The sequence below is a fragment of the Homo sapiens genome, chromosome 8 (assembly GCF_000001405.40).
Source record: "Homo sapiens chromosome 8, GRCh38.p14 Primary Assembly".
Taxonomy (NCBI): domain Eukaryota; kingdom Metazoa; phylum Chordata; class Mammalia; order Primates; family Hominidae; genus Homo; species Homo sapiens.
In genome coordinates this window covers 143,813,133-143,829,462 of record NC_000008.11, presented here as the reverse complement: position 1 = coordinate 143,829,462, position 16,330 = coordinate 143,813,133, and the positions used below count along the sequence as shown (strand labels likewise).

Genomic DNA, 16,330 nt, shown 5'->3' with positions numbered 1-16,330 from the left:
CCGTCGCCCCTCCCGGGGGCGTTTACCGTTCCTCCCCGCCCCGGAAGCGCGTTCTTACCTCCTTCCTCGCGAGAGTTCCGTGCACCGGCACCCAGATCGCGCGAGACAGCGGAAGGAGCAAGAGTGGGAGGCGCGCGCGGAGGCCGCGACGGACGCAAGATGGCGACGGCGACCATAGCTCTCGTAAGTGAGCCCCCCCATGAGCGCGGGCGGCCCTCGGCTTGCGGGGCCGGGTCGTCGACCCAGCCTGGGCGCGGAGGGCCTCCCAAGAACGCGGCGGTCTTCCCAGGTCCCGCGCGGACTCCCTCGTGTCCCCGGGTCGCGTGAGGCGGGGGCGGGGCGGGCGCGCGCCGGCGGCCGGCTCGCGGCCTCAGCTTCCGGCCTGCGGACCCCAGCTTCCGGCGGGGCGGGGCGGGGGCCTGGGCGCGGCGTGTGGCCCTTGCGGGCGAGCCTGGCGGGGTTGCGTTCCTGTCCGCTAGGTCCGGCAAGCGGGGGTCGTCGTCCTCCCTTTGCCGACGGGGGTGTGCGCCGTGGTCACGACGGAAGCGGGGTTCTGGGGGTGACGCGTGGGCCTTCGGGTTGATGGGATCAGAAGGGGACGGGACCTGTAGAAAGGGGCCTGCAGCTCAGAGCATGGGGCGGCCTTGGCTCACTACGCCTGCAGCTGTGAATTCGTTCTCCGGTGCTGGAGAGGGATCTGGTTATCTCCATTCTCTTGTCTCCACGTGGAAAGGAAGGACGTGCGCTCTCATCCTACGTGTTTTGAGAAATCGCATTGTCCCCAGCTCTGCGGGAGGATCTGGGGACGCAGTGGGGAACCAGACAGGCAGTTGGAGGTCTAGTGCGCACCAGAAGCCAGTTCCCACCCAGGGTGCCATTTGCTGGGCGCCCTAGGGAGCTGCGTGGGCATCCAGAGGAGTGAGTCGCCCCCTGCTCTGCTCAGTGCCCACTTCCCCGGGCAGGGCAGGCGTTATTAACGTAGAGGGAGAACACCCATGCACACAACACATGCACGATGAAGTCTGGTCTTTCCTTCTCACCACTTAGCTTATAGGACCTAATCCCCTTTTGGACCTTTCTCAGCCGCAGTTTACCCCTGTATTACTTGTCACCCTTCCCCCAGCCCACACCCAGCGGGATGGGATAAGGTCTGTTTGAGAAGACAGCTTGGGCAAATGGCTGAAGGCTGGACTGGCAGGACCAGGGAGTGTCCTTAGACTGCCATTGCCAGGCCCCCAGCGGGCGGGCTGGTCCCATGTCCCACTGAGGCAGAAACCAGTTACTAGGGGGAGAGAGGCATTTACACAAGATACCCAGCTTGCGAGGGCAGCCCAGTGTGTGATTCACAGGACTGGCTAACTCCACTCTTTCTACTATGTCCTTTCTCTTGAAGCCACAGGAGTAAGTGACCTTTGAGGGGCACTCCAGAGAGAAAGGATGTAAGGGTTGAGGACCTGGTGACTGTCTTCAGGCAGCAGTCAGAGAGTTGATGGTGAAGGAGGAGGAGGCTCAGAGACAAGGACTGGACATGGGAAGGTGGAGGAGGAGAGTGGATGCCTGACTCCCCTAGCACCCGCAGAACAGCGCCCTGTGCTCATGAGGGTTAAATGGGGGCTCAGGTCTGCTGTGGCGTGGTGCCAGATAGGTGGTGTCATTGTTGAGTTGGACGTGGGCCATAACTGACCCCACGAACGGGTTGTCTGTTGGGGTGTTTGTTGCCATCCAAATTCTGTTGGGTTTAATACGTGTTTTTTTATCGTCAGGTTTCAGGCTTGCATCCGGCTCCAGGAGTGAGCTGTAGCCTGTGGTCTAACCCATTCCTCTTTTAATCATTGGGATGGAAAGGCTTCTAGAAGGGTTATCTGTTCCCACCGTCCTGGTTGGGCACAGTGATGAGAGCCTGTCCCCTGTCTCATGCTGCTTCAGCTCTCATGGGAGGTTGAATGGAGCAGCTGAACTTGGCTGACAGTGGCCTGGTGGGGAAGGAAGCCAGAAGATGCAGAAGGGCCTCCCCTCCCATGGGCATGCCTTCTGCCTGGTGGCTGCAGAATGAGGCCGGCTGCCTCTTTGCAGCAAGGGTAGGTCTTCTGGATGCATCTTTTCACTTTGACGCATGGCTCCGTTCTCTTCACTGACAGCCAGACCAGCTCTCATTTGGGGTCATCACCCTTGGGGTTCCAGTTCCTTTCTTCTGTAGGCCCCAGCCTGCAATGTCACCTCATAGAGAGGCCCCCGGCTGCCATGGCCTGGCATAGCTCATAGCCACTCCTTTCTTATCCTGTGCTTTCTTCGTAGTGCTGGTAAACCACAGAAGTCATCTTTGATTTTGGCATTCTTTGCTGGCAGCTGACACCAGGCTCCTGAGAGAGACGTCTTTCTCTCTTGTCTCGTGTCTGCGGCCTCTGCAGCGCTCACTGTGGAGCCTGGGCACGCAGTAAGCAGTGTTCATTGTGTGAAGGGAACTGACAGATAGAAGGCAGTGTCCTGCAGCCAGCTCTGCCCTGGGTATCTGACACTGGATGTTGTTAATACTGATGAGTGCTGGAACCTGTGGCTTGCTTTGCTGCTTTCCATGTGCAGGGACTGCAGGTTGTGGGGTTGGGGGCGTGTTGGGATTTCACTGAATCTTCACAGTAGCCCTAGGAGACAGGCCGTCCCCATTCCCAGCTGAGGAGCCTGAAGCCTTGAGACCTTGGGACCTTCAGTCATTCGCTCCACATTATTTTTTTTTTCTTTTTGTGTGTGAGACGGAGTTTTGCTTTATCGCCCAGGCTAGAGTGCAGTGGGGTGATCCCGGCTCACTGCAACCTCTGCCTCCTGGGTTCAGGCAATTCATGGTAGCACCTCAGCCTCCCAAGTAGCTGGGATTACAGGTGCTTGCCACCATGCCCGGCTAATTTTTGTATTTTTAGTAGAGATGGGGTTTCACCATGTTGGCCAGGCTGGTCTCCAACTCCTGACCTCAAGCAATCCACCTGCCTCGGCCTCCCAAAGTGCTGGGATTACAGGCGTGAGCCACTGCGTCTGGCCACATTACTTTTTAAAAAAATCTTTTTTTTCATAGAGACAGCGTCTTGCTGTGTTGTCCAGGCTGGTCTTAAGTGCTACATCGGTCTCCCAAAGTGCTGGAGTTACAGGTGTGAGCCACCACGCCCAGCCCCTACATTGCTTTTCTTGTTTTCTGATGGAAATACTCTTCTTTGCTCTGGGCTGAGGAAAGGCAGTCCCAGAGTTGGCACCCCAGAGCCCCTCTGCTGTGCCGCCCCTCAGAGGGGCTTCCCATCCCTCCAAGCACTGCTGCCTGGTGCTGGGGGCATCCTGACCATAAAGACGCCATTTTAATTGCCTAAAGATGGCAGTACGTGACTAGCTGCGATTGTAAACACCGGTTTCCTCCAAGTTCTCCCAGCGTCTGGTTAGCACAGAACCCTAAGCTCCATGCAGCTGGGAACTTCCATCTGCCAGGAATGGCATGGGGTGTCCTGTGTAGAATGCACCAGTGGGCCGGCTTTTCCCAAGAAAATGTTTTTCCGAGCCACATCCCACTGTCAACACTGTTGTGGCTTACTTGTTGGTTAGTGCAGTGATTTGGGGGAGCAGGAAGTTACAAAAGTGCCCCTCAGTTCACCCTGTTCACGGGTATCTGGAGACTGGTCGTGAAGTGATCTCTTGCTGTGGGCAATGAGAGGCAGCCTTGGCTGGGCACAGTGGTCCACGCCTGTAGTACCAGCACTTTGGAGGCTGAGATAGGTGGATTGTTTGAGACCAGCTTGGGCAACACGGAGACCCCCATCTCTACCAAAAATACAAAAATTAGCCAGGTGTGGCGGCGCATGCCTGGAGTCCCAGGAGGCGGAGGTTGCAGTAAGCCGTAGTTGCACCACCGCACTCTAGCCTGGGCAACAGAGCCAGACCCTGTCTCAAAAAAAAAAAAGAGGCAGCCTCTGCTCTGGCTGTGCATGCAGTGGGAGGGGCCCCTTGTTTCCTTTCACTCTCTCCGGGGTGCAGTGTTTAGGCAGCGTGGGGCTGAGTTGGGCAGCTAGAGCACACCCATGCCGACAGCATTGGGAGCAGCTCCAGGCACGGGCTGGGTTGGCCTTCCCCAGTGCAGCTGGGCTGGTGGTGCTGCTCCTCCTCTGGAGGCTGAAGGACCTGGGACACTCTGGTGGGTCAGCCCAGCCTCTGGCTTTGCGCACATGGCTCCAAGGGTGGGCACGCTGATCTCTTCTGTTCTTAGATATTGTGGGTCTCATCCTTGAGCTGGGAGTGGGGTGACTGCATGCTGCCTTGCTTCTCGTTGTGCAGCCTCTGAGAAGGTAGAGTAGGTCTCAAGGCCCTTCCATCATCTCCCGACCCCCACAGCGTTACCCGTTTCCTGCCCGTGGCCTGTCTTTGCCCTGCCATCCCTCAAGACCATTGTGGAGCTGCTCCTCCTTCCTGTGCCCCCTTAGGTGTGGGTCTTACTGAGTGCAGAGGGCTAACCTCTTGGCCGTCCTCCTGCGAGACAGCTCTGGATGGTTCTGTTGCCAGGGAAGGGAGGCCTGCGCATCCAGACCCCTGCCCACCATGCTGCTTAAAAGTGTCTTCAGGAGAGAACTGGGACCTGGGCTGGGCCAGAGCCTGTGGAAGGCACTGGAGCTGGGGCTGAGTTGTGGGCTGGCCAAGGTGTGTACAGGTTGCCAGGAAGGCACCGCTGCTGCCTCAGGAGGGCATGGGGGACACCCAGCCGGTTCCTTTGGCCGTCCAGCCTGCCGGCAGGAGAGGATGGCTTTCTTTTGCCTGGGGCAGGAGCACAGCTCTCTCTACCCTCCTCCCCATCCCCGCTGGGACTCGCTGGCAGCCCTGGCCCAGCCCATGCTCCGCTCTGCTTCTGACTGGGTCCCTGGGCGTGCTGATGGGTGTGAAGAGAGGGCAGTTTGGGCTGGGGGGTCATGTCGGGAATGCCTCCCTGCCTGGCCTCCCTTGCTTATCCGTGAGGAGCTCAGCCCTTAGCTCGGGAGGAGAGCAGGCCTGGGCGGTGGGGTGGTGTGCCTGTCGTTACAACATCTCCTTCCTGCCTGCAGCAGGTCAATGGCCAGCAAGGAGGGGGGTCCGAGCCGGCGGCGGCGGCGGCAGTGGTGGCAGCGGGAGACAAATGGAAACCTCCACAGGTACTGACCTTAAGCATCCTCTCCCTCAGGCCCGCCCGCCTGCCCGCCCGCCCGCCCGCCTGCCTGTGCGTCCCTGGGCCCAGAGAGGGCTGGCTGGGGGCGGGGCGGGAGGAACCTCGGGAACCCTTCTCTGCCTCTGGGCAGACAACTGCCCGCAGGACCACGGCCCTCTCCCCGCACCAGCCCTGCACCCTCCCCACCCAGGCACTGAGCTGGCCTTTGCCCTCTGCATCTGCCCTGCTCCAAGCACCAGGCGGGGCCTGTTGACAGTCTGGCTGGGCGGGGACGCCGGGGCCTGGAGCTCGCGCGTTCTTAGGCATGAGCGTCTTGCAGGAAGGGTGGGCCAAGCTTCCCAGAACTCGCAGTGCTTGAGGAGCCAGAAGGACAGATTTCATTTCAGACCTCTGTGTTTTCATTTAAATAAAACAGTGAAGCAATGCGCAAGTCAAAGCACAGGTCTGGTTGGGACTCAGCCCTCCCCATCTTTTTTCGGCCCCAGGCTCCAGAGTGGGTGCAGGTGGGTCTTGGTCTGTTCGATGGCCCAGCCTTGGGAGCAGGTCCTCTCAGAGGTGGAGCTGGGCCTGTGGCTGGGTAGTTGGGTTCTTTGTGCTTCTCCATGGTAGCGCCCGCCTCCAGAGCATTCCAGTGGGGCCTCAGCAAGGTGGCCTGGCAGCCTCTTGGGGCTGGGCCCTCCTCTTGGTCCCCCAGGCACACTCAGGGGGTGGGACTGGGACATGGTATGCAGCTTGGATCCTGGGAGATGTGGGGGCTGGTGCTCCCTGGCCCTTGGCTGGCGCCCAGCCGGCCATTGGTTGGTGGGAGAAGGGCCTTTTGTTTACCAAGACAAAGAGGAGATTGAAAAATGTCTGGGGGCTGAGGGGGTTGGCATTGATTACCATGGTGACAGCCTGCTCTCAAGTCCCAGCCTCTGGCTCTTGGGCCCTCTTTCCCACTAAGGAGGAATGGGCTTGGGGCCAGCTGTGAGGGTGGTGAGGACAGGCCTAGTGTGAGCCGGACTGGGGCACCTGGTGCTGAGGGTGGTGAGGACAGGCCTAGTGTGAGCCGGACTGGGGCACCTGGTGCTGAGGGTGGTGAAGACAGGCCTAGTGTGAGCCGGACTGGGGCACCTGGTGCTGAGGGTGATTAGGACAGGCCTGGTGTGAGCCGGACTGGGGCACCTGGTGCCACCCACAGCCAGCCTTTGACCTTCAGGGACTGGTTGGGGCTCTGGTTGCCTGGGGAGGGGTCTCCAGGGCTTCCTGCCCTTTGAGCCTGGGCCAGCATCCCAGCACTTGGCAGGCAGGAGGGGGTTCTTGGGGCTTGGGCCAGCCTGTCCCTTCCTGCCTCCTGTGTCCCTCTGTCCTTGCTCATCACTTCTGTGCTGGGGACCCTTCTCTCTTCTCTGCTGTCCCTCAAGGCTGTGTCTGGAAGTCTCGGAGGGCCCGGTTGGTGGGCCAGTGATCTTTGTGCTTGCTGAGCTGGAGGACAGGCGCAGGCATGCTGTTTGCCCATCCCACACTCTGATGGGCCTGCTAGCCATGCCTCCCTGCTCACACAGCTGCGTTCTTCCCTCTGCAAAAAGCTTAGAGATGGATTTTGACAGGAGGGACGTAAACATAATCCTGGTTGGCATCAGCTTGGGTCTGCAGTGGCTGTGACTGCCCAAGGGCCTCTTGGTCCCCAGGCCCACCTGGCTAGGGTGCCAGTGGGGTCTGCTCCTGGCTTCTCCCAGTGGGCCAGGCAAAGCCCATGCAAGAGTGTGTGGAAGTGAGCTGGAGCCCTCTTCAGGGCTTGTGTGGCCCGAGAGAGGCCTGTGTTCTCTGGGAGGTGTGCACAGTGCCTGCGGGGACGGTGGGGGGAGCACTGTTGGGAGAGAGGCCCTTGTATTAGCTCCTTGGGTGGGCCCCTTGAAACTCCAGGGAAGCTGAGCCTGTGTCTGTGGCAGGGACTGTGAGGAAGCCTGGAGGAGCCTGGGAGCAAGGAGTCCCAGAACGTCCAGAGAGCCGTGGCCCTTTTCTCCTGCCTTGGAGGACGGCTGAGGCTGGCTCTCCTGCCGGGCATGTGATAGCAGCTCTGGGGTCAGACTGACAACAAGGGGCTGGACCCCTTTTCTGCCTCCAGCTGTTTATCTTGGTGGTTCCCGAGGAGGCCACTGTGGCCTGGGCCCCACAACTGCTCGGGTTGGCCCAGGGCCTCCAGGGCACCTGCCTGCCTCAGTCTGTGTTCTACCCCATGGGTCCCGGGGGAGACAGTGGCCTGGGCTGGGGACAGCAATGTCAGAAGGGCTGGCCTGAGTACAGGCCAGGCAGGGGACAGTCTGTGCTAGGGGTGGCCCTCCTGGGGCCACGTGAAGGAGAACTTGAGCTTGCTGCTGATGGATTCCCCTGCTCCCTTACCAGGGCACAGACTCCATCAAGATGGAGAACGGGCAGAGCACAGCCGCCAAGCTGGGGCTGCCTCCCCTGACGCCCGAGCAGCAGGAGGCCCTTCAGAAGGTGAGCATGGACCTCCCAGGGCACTGCAGGTGTGGGACAGTCAACTGGGGGCAGGGGCAGGGGCGGGGTGCGGGGCAGGCCTGTCTCCCATGGGCTGGGCCCCCAGTGCTCCTCACTGCCGCCTCTCTCAGGCCAAGAAGTACGCCATGGAGCAGAGCATCAAGAGTGTGCTGGTGAAGCAGACCATCGCGCACCAGCAGCAGCAGCTCACCAACCTGCAGGTGAGCCCCGGCCGGAGCCTCTACCGCCCTCCCCACCACAGCCACCATCTCCTCCTCTTCACGCTCTTCCTCCTCCTGGGCCTGCGGCCGTCCCCGCAAGCTGTTACAGTGCTCCGATTCTCAAAGACTCATGCTCGGGACCCCCGGGGTCCTCTCTGAGGCACGAGTGGCCCAGCCTTTCCCACCTGTTGCTCGCTGGAGCCCCTAAAGCGCCGCAGCCCCTTTCTTGGCTGCTTGGCTGCAGCTCTACCCTTTTCCCCTTCCTGGTCTTCACACTGTGGCCTCTGGTCTCTCCCGTGCTCCCTGCCCCAGCTGTGCACAGCCGATGGTGGCAGCATGCAGGGCGTGGGCCTCCCTGCCCCCGTGGCCTGGATAAGACTGCTCAGGCCCTCACCCCTGCAGTGAGTCCAGACCACCTGGGCTCAGCCCCAGGACTGAGGGGACAGTCTGGAGGCACCTCCCTTGGGGCCCTGCTCCAGGCCTGTGGCCGGAGGCTGCGATACCTTCGTGGGAAGAGGCCGGTGTGAGGCCGACAGGTTCCTGGGCCTCGAGCCTCACGCCCCCCCGCCCAGCCCTCAGACATTCACGCTACCAGGAGATGTCCTGGCCATTCACTGTGCTCCACTGCCCTCCTCCCTCCCTCCCTTCCTCCCTCCCTTCCTTTCTGCCCCAGCCGGCCCAGCTGCAAGGCTGCAGGGCGGGGCACATGGGGCGCTGCGGCCCCCCTGGGCAGGTGCTGGCGGCCGGCAGTGTGGGAAGGCAGGCGGCCTCCCTGGCAGGGCGGGGACTCCGGGCCTTGCCGCTGTCTGCGTGAGGTGTTGACGAGAGCGGGAGACTGCTCGGCTCCAACAGACTGAACTCTGTCTTTACTGTCTTTCAGATGGCAGCAGTGACAATGGGCTTTGGAGATCCTCTCTCACCTTTGCAATCGGTCAATAGAAATGCTCACTTCTTCCGGGGCTCATGTCCTTAGTCAGGGCTAGAGGGGGGCAGTGCAGCCCACGTGCTGGGGACCTTGCTCCCCTGGCCGGCCCTGCCCGCCAGCTCTGGACGAGCGCAGCAGAGCGCCAGGCGTGGTGGGGCCAGTGGTGTGGGCACCCACCCGGGACCGCCCCTGGGGAGGCCTCCATCTGCTCTGAGGGCCCACCTTAAAACTAATCGGCCAGGTAACTGCGGAGGGCAGCCGGCCAGGGCGGGTAGCTGCCAGCACCAGGCCCGTCTGCGCCCACGCCACCTGCACGCACGGGGTGTGCCCACGGCCTCCAGCCCCGTCAGTCTCCAGGCTGCCTGGCTCTTGGGTTGGGGTCAGGCCCCTGAGGAGAGAGGGGTCCTAACTCATGGCCCCATCAGACCCTGGAGGGAGGATGGTTGGATGGGGTGGGGGTGGGGGGACCCAAGCGAGCAAGGGAAGGGCAAGCAGGGCCTTGTGCCTGGCTGTCAGCAAGGGGCAGAGGCCACGCAGCCAGGGCGGAGGAGGCAGGGGCCATGGCTATGGCCTTGGCTGTGGTGGGCAGAGGAGTGTGGGAAGGAGGTGTCCCTCCCTTCCCCCAGAGGCAGGCTCAGGAGGAGGCCAGGTCCCATCTCGGGGATCCTGAGGGGAAGATGTGGACCCTTCTCTGGGAGCCTCTGTTCAGAGGGGTCATCCCTGTGTGTGGCTCCCATGGGGCAACACACGCCTTGTTCTCTCTGGGAAGCATCTGAATGGGAGCCCGGGCTGGGGGTCTGGTCAGGGAGAGAGCTCTTGGCCTGCCTGGGGGTGGGGCCCCACACTGAAAAGGAGACATGGCCCTGTCTTGGGGGAACCATGACCTGAGGGACAGGCCTGGTCTCGTGTCTGGGGAGCCTGCTGAGTGAGGGGGATGTGATTCCACCTTTGGGGGGGTCTTGCTCTGAGTGGGGAGCCTGAGGTCTGTCAGGGGGCCCAGTGTGAGGAGAACACAGTCTCGTTTTCAGGGAATGCCTGGTTTGAAGGAAGATATCTCACCTTGGGAAGTCCCTTGATGTGGAGAGATGCTTCCAGGCCCCTCTCCACGGGATGGGGAGGTTCGGCCTGCATTAGGCCAGCTGATGTCTAAAGAGGGAAACTGGTCTCTGGCCACAAGGCCTTTTGTGGAGAGGGGCAGGGCCTGGCTCCAGCTGTCTGCTTTGCCTGCCCTGGCCCACAGGCTCCCTGTGGCCCACTGCGTGTGGCTCTGGAAGTCCCCTGTCTGGCATGCCTCCTGTGAGGTGACAGGGGCGAGAACCCGTCCCTGAGGGTGTGGGGAGGTCCCTCAGCGCAATAGCCAAGCTCACAGCCAAGGCCCTGGACCGGCCAGGCCTGTCACCAGCTCTAAGGAGCCTGGGGGCTTCTCGTAGGGTCTCTGCTACCTCATGGTGCCCCCGGGGGCCAGGCCAGTGGTCTCGCCTGGGCCCGCTCTCTCGGCTGGGGGCACAGGCTCCAGGCAGCTCCTTTGTGAGGAGTTGCAGGGCACTGGGAAGGCACAGCATGAGCCCCCACCTGAGTTGGCCCAGCATGAGCAGCTGCTCCTCGTTCTCTCTTCAGGGAGCCCCCATCTGGCTCCTGAGCTCCTCCCCTGGGGTCTCTTCTGGGCAGTGGCTGCCCTGTCTTCTGACCTCCTCTCTTCTGGCCACCAAACCAGTGGGTCCCTCCAGCTTGGATGGTTCCTCCTTCCCTCTTCTGTCGTGGTCCTTGGCTGGGACAGTGGGAGGATCTCCCAGCCCAGCCTGGGATACCCAGCCCCCAGACTGGAGGGGTGGTCTGGGTGGGAGGGCGCACAGCCCTGCCTCCTGACCATCTGTCGGCTTTGCTGCCGCAGTCTGCCTGGGACCTTGGCGGGCTGGGGTGCGTCCTGTCCTGCCGCTGGGCCTGGCCTTCCTTCTTTGGGTGGCGGGGTCCTGCGACCCCCACACTATGACTGCAGGGATGGAGCCCGCACCTCCCTGTCATGTGGGGAGCCCTCCCCACAGCAGGGCTGGGTGGGTGGGCCAGGAGGGGAGTGGGCTGCCCAGCTTCCTGCCGCCCCTGACGAGCCAGCGGTTCTCTCCCCTCTGTCCTGCTGCAGATGGCGGCTCAGCGGCAGCGGGCGCTGGCCATCATGTGCCGCGTCTACGTGGGCTCTATCTACTATGAGCTGGGGGAGGACACCATCCGCCAGGCCTTTGCCCCCTTTGGCCCCATCAAGAGCATCGACATGTCCTGGGACTCCGTCACCATGAAGCACAAGGTCAGCAGGCTTGGTCCGCCCCGGCCACTTCGGGCTCGCCCCCACCCCTGGGCTCGCGCAGCCTGACAGGTGTGTCCCTGTGTCTAGGGCTTTGCCTTCGTGGAGTATGAGGTCCCCGAAGCTGCACAGCTGGCCTTGGAGCAGATGAACTCGGTGATGCTGGGGGGCAGGAACATCAAGGTGAGGCAGGGAGCCAAGGCCTCGATCCCGCAGGCGTGCAGGGCTGCCCCTCCACGGAAGCCTTTTGTGGCCGGGCCTGGGTTGACCGGTCTTTCCATCTCACCGCCTCTTCCCCAGGTGGGCAGACCCAGCAACATAGGGCAGGCCCAGCCCATCATAGACCAGTTGGCTGAGGAGGCACGGGCCTTCAACCGCATCTACGTGGCCTCTGTGCACCAGGACCTCTCAGACGATGACATCAAGAGCGTGTTTGAGGCCTTTGGCAAGATCAAGTCCTGCACACTGGCCCGGGACCCCACAACTGGCAAGCACAAGGGCTACGGCTTCATTGGTGAGCTGGGGTGGCTGAGGCGGGATGGGGGCCACCTGAGGCTGGGGCTGGCCCTGCTCACTGCTGCTCCTGCCCACAGAGTACGAGAAGGCCCAGTCGTCCCAAGATGCTGTGTCTTCCATGAACCTCTTTGACCTGGGTGGCCAGTACTTGCGGGTGGGCAAGGCTGTCACACCGCCCATGCCCCTACTCACACCAGCCACGCCTGGAGGCCTCCCACCTGCCGCTGCTGTGGCAGCTGCTGCAGCCACTGCCAAGATCACAGCTCAGGTGAGGGCCCACACAGCTGTCGGCTTGAGGGTGGGCGGGCTGGCCCCTGATTCCTTGGAGACTGATTCAAGGTGGTCTTGAGTAGCCAGACCAGGGACTGAGCACGGTGACCTTTTGGGTTGCAGGAAGCAGTGGCCGGAGCAGCGGTGCTGGGTACCCTGGGCACACCTGGACTGGTGTCCCCAGCACTGACCCTGGCCCAGCCCCTGGGCACTTTGCCCCAGGCTGTCATGGCTGCCCAGGCACCTGGAGTCATCACAGGTGAGTCTTAAGTGGTACCAGATCCTCTCCTCTCCTGTCCTGGCATCTCTCGGCTCGCTGCCCTCAGCTGCCTGGCCCTGGTGGTCTGGGCACAACCCTCTGAGCCCAGGGCAGGCCAGCTCTGTGCCTTTCTGGGAAGGGGGGTGGTAGGGAGTGACTGATGGACCTGGTTGGTTTTCCTGCAGGTGTGACCCCAGCCCGTCCTCCTATCCCGGTCACCATCCCCTCGGTGGGAGTGGTGAACCCCATCCTGGCCAGCCCTCCAACGCTGGGTCTCCTGGAGCCCAAGAAGGAGAAGGAAGAAGAGGAGCTGTTTCCCGAGTCAGAGCGGCCAGAGATGCTGAGCGAGCAGGAGCACATGAGCATCTCGGGCAGTAGCGCCCGACACATGGTGATGCAGAAGCTGCTCCGCAAGCAGGAGGTAGGCAGAGGGGCAGGGTGGTGGCGGGGGAGAGGGTAGGGGGGCGGGGCCGCAGTGCTCAGCTGTCTTCCCCTCGGCCCTGCCCCACAGTCTACAGTGATGGTTCTGCGCAACATGGTGGACCCCAAGGACATCGATGATGACCTGGAAGGGGAGGTGACAGAGGAGTGTGGCAAGTTCGGGGCCGTGAACCGCGTCATCATCTACCAAGAGAAACAAGGCGAGGAGGAGGATGCAGAAATCATTGTCAAGATCTTTGTGGAGTTTTCCATAGCCTCTGAGACTCATAAGGCCATCCAGGCCCTCAATGGCCGCTGGTTTGCTGGCCGCAAGGTGGTGGCTGAAGTGTACGACCAGGAGCGTTTTGATAACAGTGACCTCTCTGCGTGACAGTGGTCCCTCTCCCCGGACTTGCACTTGTTCCTTGTTTCCTCTGGGTTTTATAGTGATACAGTGGTGTCCCCGGGGCCAGGCGCGCTCTGCCCAGCCCAGCCTACAGTGCGGATAAAGGTGCGGATGCTGCTGGCCCTGAACGTCCGTGTGTCTGCCGTCGGTCCTGTCACCGATCCTGGGCGTGTGTCCTTAGGGGGTCTAGGGCGAGGAGGCAGGGTTGGGGGGGTCTCTGGACCTGCTTCCTGTTGGCAGGAGGGGCCTGCCGTGGGCGAGACCTGGGCAGGGGGTTGGCGCCCCGGGCCCCGTCCCGCGGGTGGCGGCGGCTGGGTGGGCGGGGCTGCCTGGGGCGCCAGGCTCTCGCGCGCGGGCTCGCAGCCGTCCCCGCAGGGTGGTGCTGAGAGAAGGCTGGGCACCGGGACACCGCGACCCGCTGGACAGCGCGCGCTGCCAGTGCTTTTGTGCCGCAGAGCCGGCCGTCCAAGGCGGGCGGGCGGGCATGGTCGCTTCCCGGGAGGAGGCTGTGCGTTAAGATTCGTGGCCAAATGCCGCGGGGCCAGGGGCCGGGCTGAAGACCGGAGGGCGGAGGGCGCCGCCTCTCGTGGATTGTAGCTCCCAATATCCCGCGCGCGGGGCGGGCCCGGCTTCCCGGCACGCTTTGCGCGGTGCCGCTACGGGTCCTCAGAGGCGGCGGCGCGCGGGGCCTTCTGGGGGCCGCAGTCCGGGCGTGCTAGGCGGCGAGGGCCGGACTCGGCTTCCCGACGGGCTGCGCGGCGGCCGGGTGGGTGTCGGCGGGGCAGTCCGGCGGGCAGCGGCGGTTCCGGTGCGGCACAGCGGGCGGACGAGCGGGCGGGACGAGCTGAGCAGGACCAAGCGGGATGCGGAGCCGCCGCCGCCGCCGCTCCCCGCGCTTCCTAAGAGTCTGAGACCCGCCGGGCCGCGCCCCCTGCCCAGGCCCGCAGTCCGAGCGTTCCGAGCGCGGGCCGGGCCCAGCGCCGGCCGCGGCCGCGTCCCCGTCCAGTCTCGGGCGGCCCGCCCCCTGCCTGCGCCCCCTCCCCATGCGCGGCGCCCATGCGGACTGAGCCCCGCCCCCCGGCCCCGAGCCCGCCGAGCGCCGCCGCCGGAGCCCGCGCCGCCCACCCGCACCATGCTCAAGTGCATCCCGCTGTGGCGCTGCAACCGGCACGTGGAGTCGGTGGACAAGCGGCACTGTTCGCTGCAGGCCGTGCCGGAGGAGATCTACCGCTACAGCCGCAGCCTGGAGGAGCTGCTGCTCGACGCCAACCAGCTGCGCGAGCTGCCCAAGGTGAGCGGCCGCCCGCACCTGCCGCCCAAAGGCGCGCCCCCAGCCCGTGATTCCTCCGGCGGCAGAATCTGCCCGGGCGAGTCACCGCAGCCTCCAGCCGGCCCTGCTGGTTTGCACTGGCCAGGTCCCCACCCCAGCCAGCCCCACCCTTCTCTTCCAGCCGCCCTGGCTGGCGCAGGTGGCAGCGGTCATCAGGTGCTTGCCTGGGGATAGCGATTGTCACCGAGCCTGGAGGCGGAGCCTCAGAGTGAAACCCGTGGGGATTCAGGGAGGTGGATGGGGTTAGGGTGGAACTTGGATTCAGGTGGCTGATGAGTACTAGCTTCTTGGGCCGCTCTGGAGGTGGGTCCAGACCTCCTCTCCTTTTTTGCTGGGTGCAGGGGTGAGTGGGGGAGCCCTCTTGATGTACTCTTTGCTCTCGGATCTGTTCGCTGTCCCCCTTTCTTTACCCTTGCTTCTCGTGGTCAGGTGCTCTCCTAAGGCTGCTACAAGAAAGGAGGCTGGAGAAAGCAGATTAAAAAGTATTTCTTTTCTGGAGATGGGGTGCTGGGTGATCAGTACCTAGGGGTTGGGTGTCCCAAAGAATGTGACCCTGTTCTGGCCGTGGCAGTGACAGCTCGGTCCTCTGTGGCCACCTGCAGGCCTCGCGCGTAGCACTGTGCCTGTGGTACTGTGTTATTGTGGGGAGCGTTTACTGAGTTCTTGCTGCAGAACCAGGCCAGGCTTGTTGTCAGGATGCAGTAGCAGAGGCCAGTGTGGGCCCCTGGAGGGTGGCAGAAGTGGTTCAGGGGCTGGGTGGGCCCTGAGGTAAGACACAGGGTAGGGGATTGGGGCTTTGTCTGGTCGCCAGCAGGTGTCTTCTCAGAGTGGAGGCTGGTGTGAAGAGTAGAGGGAGGCAGCCACAGTGGGCGTGTGTACCGTGTGTTTCTTTCCTTTTTTTGCAAATGGGGTGTCGTGGTTAGACCCCAGGACCCGGTGTGACCTGGAGCAGACAGAGGCCTAGGGACTCTTGACTTGTGACACTCACGTGTCCAGGAGCTCTTCTCTGCTCTGCAGTGGTCTCTGCCACAGAGTCCGTGTCCTCCCTGCCCACAGCCTTTTTTCCGGCTGCTGAACTTGCGCAAGCTGGGCCTGAGCGACAACGAGATCCAGCGGTTGCCTCCCGAGGTGGCCAACTTCATGCAGCTGGTGGAGCTGGACGTGTCCCGGAACGGTGGGGAGCCTGGGCAGGGGCTGGGTGGGGTCTGGGGAGTGTCCGCTGGGGCTGCAGACGGCCTGCAGGCCATGGCATCTGTCCACTGTGACCCTCTGTGACAGATATCCCTGAGATCCCGGAGAGCATCAAGTTCTGCAAGGCTCTGGAGATCGCGGACTTCAGCGGGAACCCCCTCTCCAGGTGGGTGGCAGCCTGTGGTGGGGTCGGTAGGGGCTATGGGTCCCACAGCCCTGGACTGGTCATCCGAGGGCCTCTGCTTCCTCCCATCCAGGCTCCCTGATGGCTTCACTCAGCTGCGCAGCCTGGCTCACCTGGCCCTGAATGATGTGTCTCTGCAGGCACTGCCCGGGGACGTGGGCAAGTGAGTGCCTTCTCAGGTGGAACTAGGGTGGGGTGGGGGACCAGGATTGGCCCTGCCCCTGCTGCCACTGCTTTCCTTCCTCTTGCCCCAGCGCCTGGTCTCTCTTTCAGCCTCGCCAACCTGGTGACCCTGGAGCTCCGGGAGAACCTGCTCAAGTCCCTGCCAGCGTGAGTGTGACAGGCATTCTCCTAACAGCCAGGGCAGGGCCACAGCCCAGGGACCAGGGCTGCGTGGCCACACCTCCACCCTGCTTCCTCTGCAGGTCCCTGTCATTTCTGGTCAAGCTGGAACAGCTGGATCTGGGAGGCAACGATCTGGAAGTGCTGGTGCGTGGAGGCCTGACAGGGCAGAGACCGGAGGGCGGGCCACGGAAGCAAGGGCAAAGAAGGGGACAGCGAGCAGATCCGACAGCAAGGGGCACCTCGGGAGGGCAGGCGGGTGGGAGCTGGGTGTGGGGGCGTATAGTCTCTTGAGCACGGCGCAGCAGGAGGCTTTGCCTCATAG

At 62.9% G+C, this 16,330-nt stretch overlaps 2 protein-coding genes and 1 long non-coding RNA gene across 22 annotated transcripts in view, besides 7 other annotated features; 2 read left to right on the top strand and 1 right to left on the bottom strand.

Moving 5' to 3' along the window:
* Window positions 1-56: part of an enhancer, noted in NCBI's record as "MED14-independent group 3 enhancer chr8:144911577-144912776 (GRCh37/hg19 assembly coordinates)", that runs on past the window's edge. NCBI's record gives its function as "activates an origin of replication core promoter dependent on BRD2, BRD4, P300/CBP and CDK7 cofactors, and independent of MED14, by STARR-seq in HCT116 cells {active_cell/tissue: HCT116}" and the evidence as "EXISTENCE:reporter gene assay evidence [ECO:0000049][PMID:35650434]".
* Window positions 1-76: part of an enhancer, noted in NCBI's record as "H3K27ac-H3K4me1 hESC enhancer chr8:144911557-144912256 (GRCh37/hg19 assembly coordinates)", that runs on past the window's edge. NCBI's record gives its function as "activates a minimal SCP1, AML or CMV promoter by ChIP-STARR-seq in primed H9 embryonic stem cells {active_cell/tissue: H9 hESC(primed)}" and the evidence as "EXISTENCE:reporter gene assay evidence [ECO:0000049][PMID:30033119]".
* The window catches only part of LOC107986985 (uncharacterized), a 2,652-nt gene extending 2,469 nt beyond the window's left edge, over window positions 1-183 (bottom strand). The window contains exon 1 of the long non-coding RNA XR_001746138.2: window positions 59-183. This is a non-coding gene — a long non-coding RNA (uncharacterized LOC107986985). The remainder of the gene's footprint in view (window positions 1-58) is intronic.
* Window positions 1-430: part of a biological region, named in NCBI's record as "MED14-independent group 3 enhancer GRCh37_chr8:144911577-144912776", that runs on past the window's edge.
* Window positions 1-430: part of a silencer, noted in NCBI's record as "silent region_19624", that runs on past the window's edge. NCBI's record gives its function as "represses an Ori minimal core promoter by ATAC-STARR-seq in GM12878 lymphoblastoid cells {active_cell/tissue: GM12878}" and the evidence as "EXISTENCE:reporter gene assay evidence [ECO:0000049][PMID:35858748]".
* Window positions 148-13,119, top strand: PUF60 (poly(U) binding splicing factor 60). 19 transcript variants are annotated; one of them, XM_047421578.1, is made up of 13 exons: window positions 148-559; window positions 1,927-2,078; window positions 5,064-5,150; window positions 7,550-7,645; window positions 7,777-7,866; window positions 8,747-8,797; window positions 10,929-11,090; window positions 11,178-11,270; window positions 11,388-11,601; window positions 11,681-11,871; window positions 11,997-12,132; window positions 12,318-12,553; window positions 12,644-13,119. In XM_047421578.1, the coding sequence occupies exons 2-13, from the start codon at window positions 1,944-1,946 to the stop codon at window positions 12,941-12,943; spliced, it is 1,791 nt and encodes a 596-aa protein (XP_047277534.1). In that variant the 5' UTR covers window positions 148-559; window positions 1,927-1,943; the 3' UTR covers window positions 12,944-13,119. The 19 variants fall into 19 exon arrangements, with proteins under 19 accessions (XP_047277534.1, NP_001258027.1, NP_510965.1 ...); XM_047421580.1 differs by having other exon boundaries at window positions 422-479; window positions 5,067-5,150; NM_001362895.2 differs by having other exon boundaries at window positions 422-479.
* Window positions 13,098-13,730: an enhancer, noted in NCBI's record as "H3K27ac hESC enhancer chr8:144897903-144898535 (GRCh37/hg19 assembly coordinates)". NCBI's record gives its function as "activates a minimal SCP1, AML or CMV promoter by ChIP-STARR-seq in primed H9 embryonic stem cells {active_cell/tissue: H9 hESC(primed)}" and the evidence as "EXISTENCE:reporter gene assay evidence [ECO:0000049][PMID:30033119]".
* The window catches only part of SCRIB (scribble planar cell polarity protein), a 24,849-nt gene continuing 22,208 nt past the window's right edge, over window positions 13,690-16,330 (top strand). For both annotated transcript variants that reach the window (NM_015356.5, NM_182706.5), the window contains exons 1-6: window positions 13,690-14,249; window positions 15,345-15,462; window positions 15,567-15,645; window positions 15,737-15,826; window positions 15,937-15,993; window positions 16,089-16,152. In NM_015356.5, coding sequence (NP_056171.3) covers window positions 14,091-14,249; window positions 15,345-15,462; window positions 15,567-15,645; window positions 15,737-15,826; window positions 15,937-15,993; window positions 16,089-16,152 — 567 coding nt within the window. In that variant the 5' untranslated portion in view covers window positions 13,690-14,090. The remainder of the gene's footprint in view (window positions 14,250-15,344; window positions 15,463-15,566; window positions 15,646-15,736; window positions 15,827-15,936; window positions 15,994-16,088; window positions 16,153-16,330) is intronic.
* Window positions 13,731-14,363: an enhancer, noted in NCBI's record as "H3K27ac hESC enhancer chr8:144897270-144897902 (GRCh37/hg19 assembly coordinates)". NCBI's record gives its function as "activates a minimal SCP1, AML or CMV promoter by ChIP-STARR-seq in primed H9 embryonic stem cells {active_cell/tissue: H9 hESC(primed)}" and the evidence as "EXISTENCE:reporter gene assay evidence [ECO:0000049][PMID:30033119]".
* Window positions 14,648-15,312: an enhancer, noted in NCBI's record as "H3K4me1 hESC enhancer chr8:144896321-144896985 (GRCh37/hg19 assembly coordinates)". NCBI's record gives its function as "activates a minimal SCP1, AML or CMV promoter by ChIP-STARR-seq in naive H9 embryonic stem cells {active_cell/tissue: H9 hESC(naive)}" and the evidence as "EXISTENCE:reporter gene assay evidence [ECO:0000049][PMID:30033119]".

What these genes read in the sequence shown, in the direction of transcription:
- PUF60 (XM_047421578.1), top strand. Translation starts at nt 1,944, where the DNA reads ATGGAGCAGCTGAACTTGGCTGACAGTGGCCTGGTGGGGAAGGAAGCC. An exon ending in AGCAGGAGGCCCTTCAGAAG is followed by an intron (nt 7,646 to 7,776) that starts GTGAGCATGGAC and finishes CGCCTCTCTCAG; the next exon opens with GCCAAGAAGTACGCCATGGA. An exon ending in CTCTCTCACCTTTGCAATCG is followed by an intron (nt 8,798 to 10,928) that starts GTCAATAGAAAT and finishes GTCCTGCTGCAG; the next exon opens with ATGGCGGCTCAGCGGCAGCG.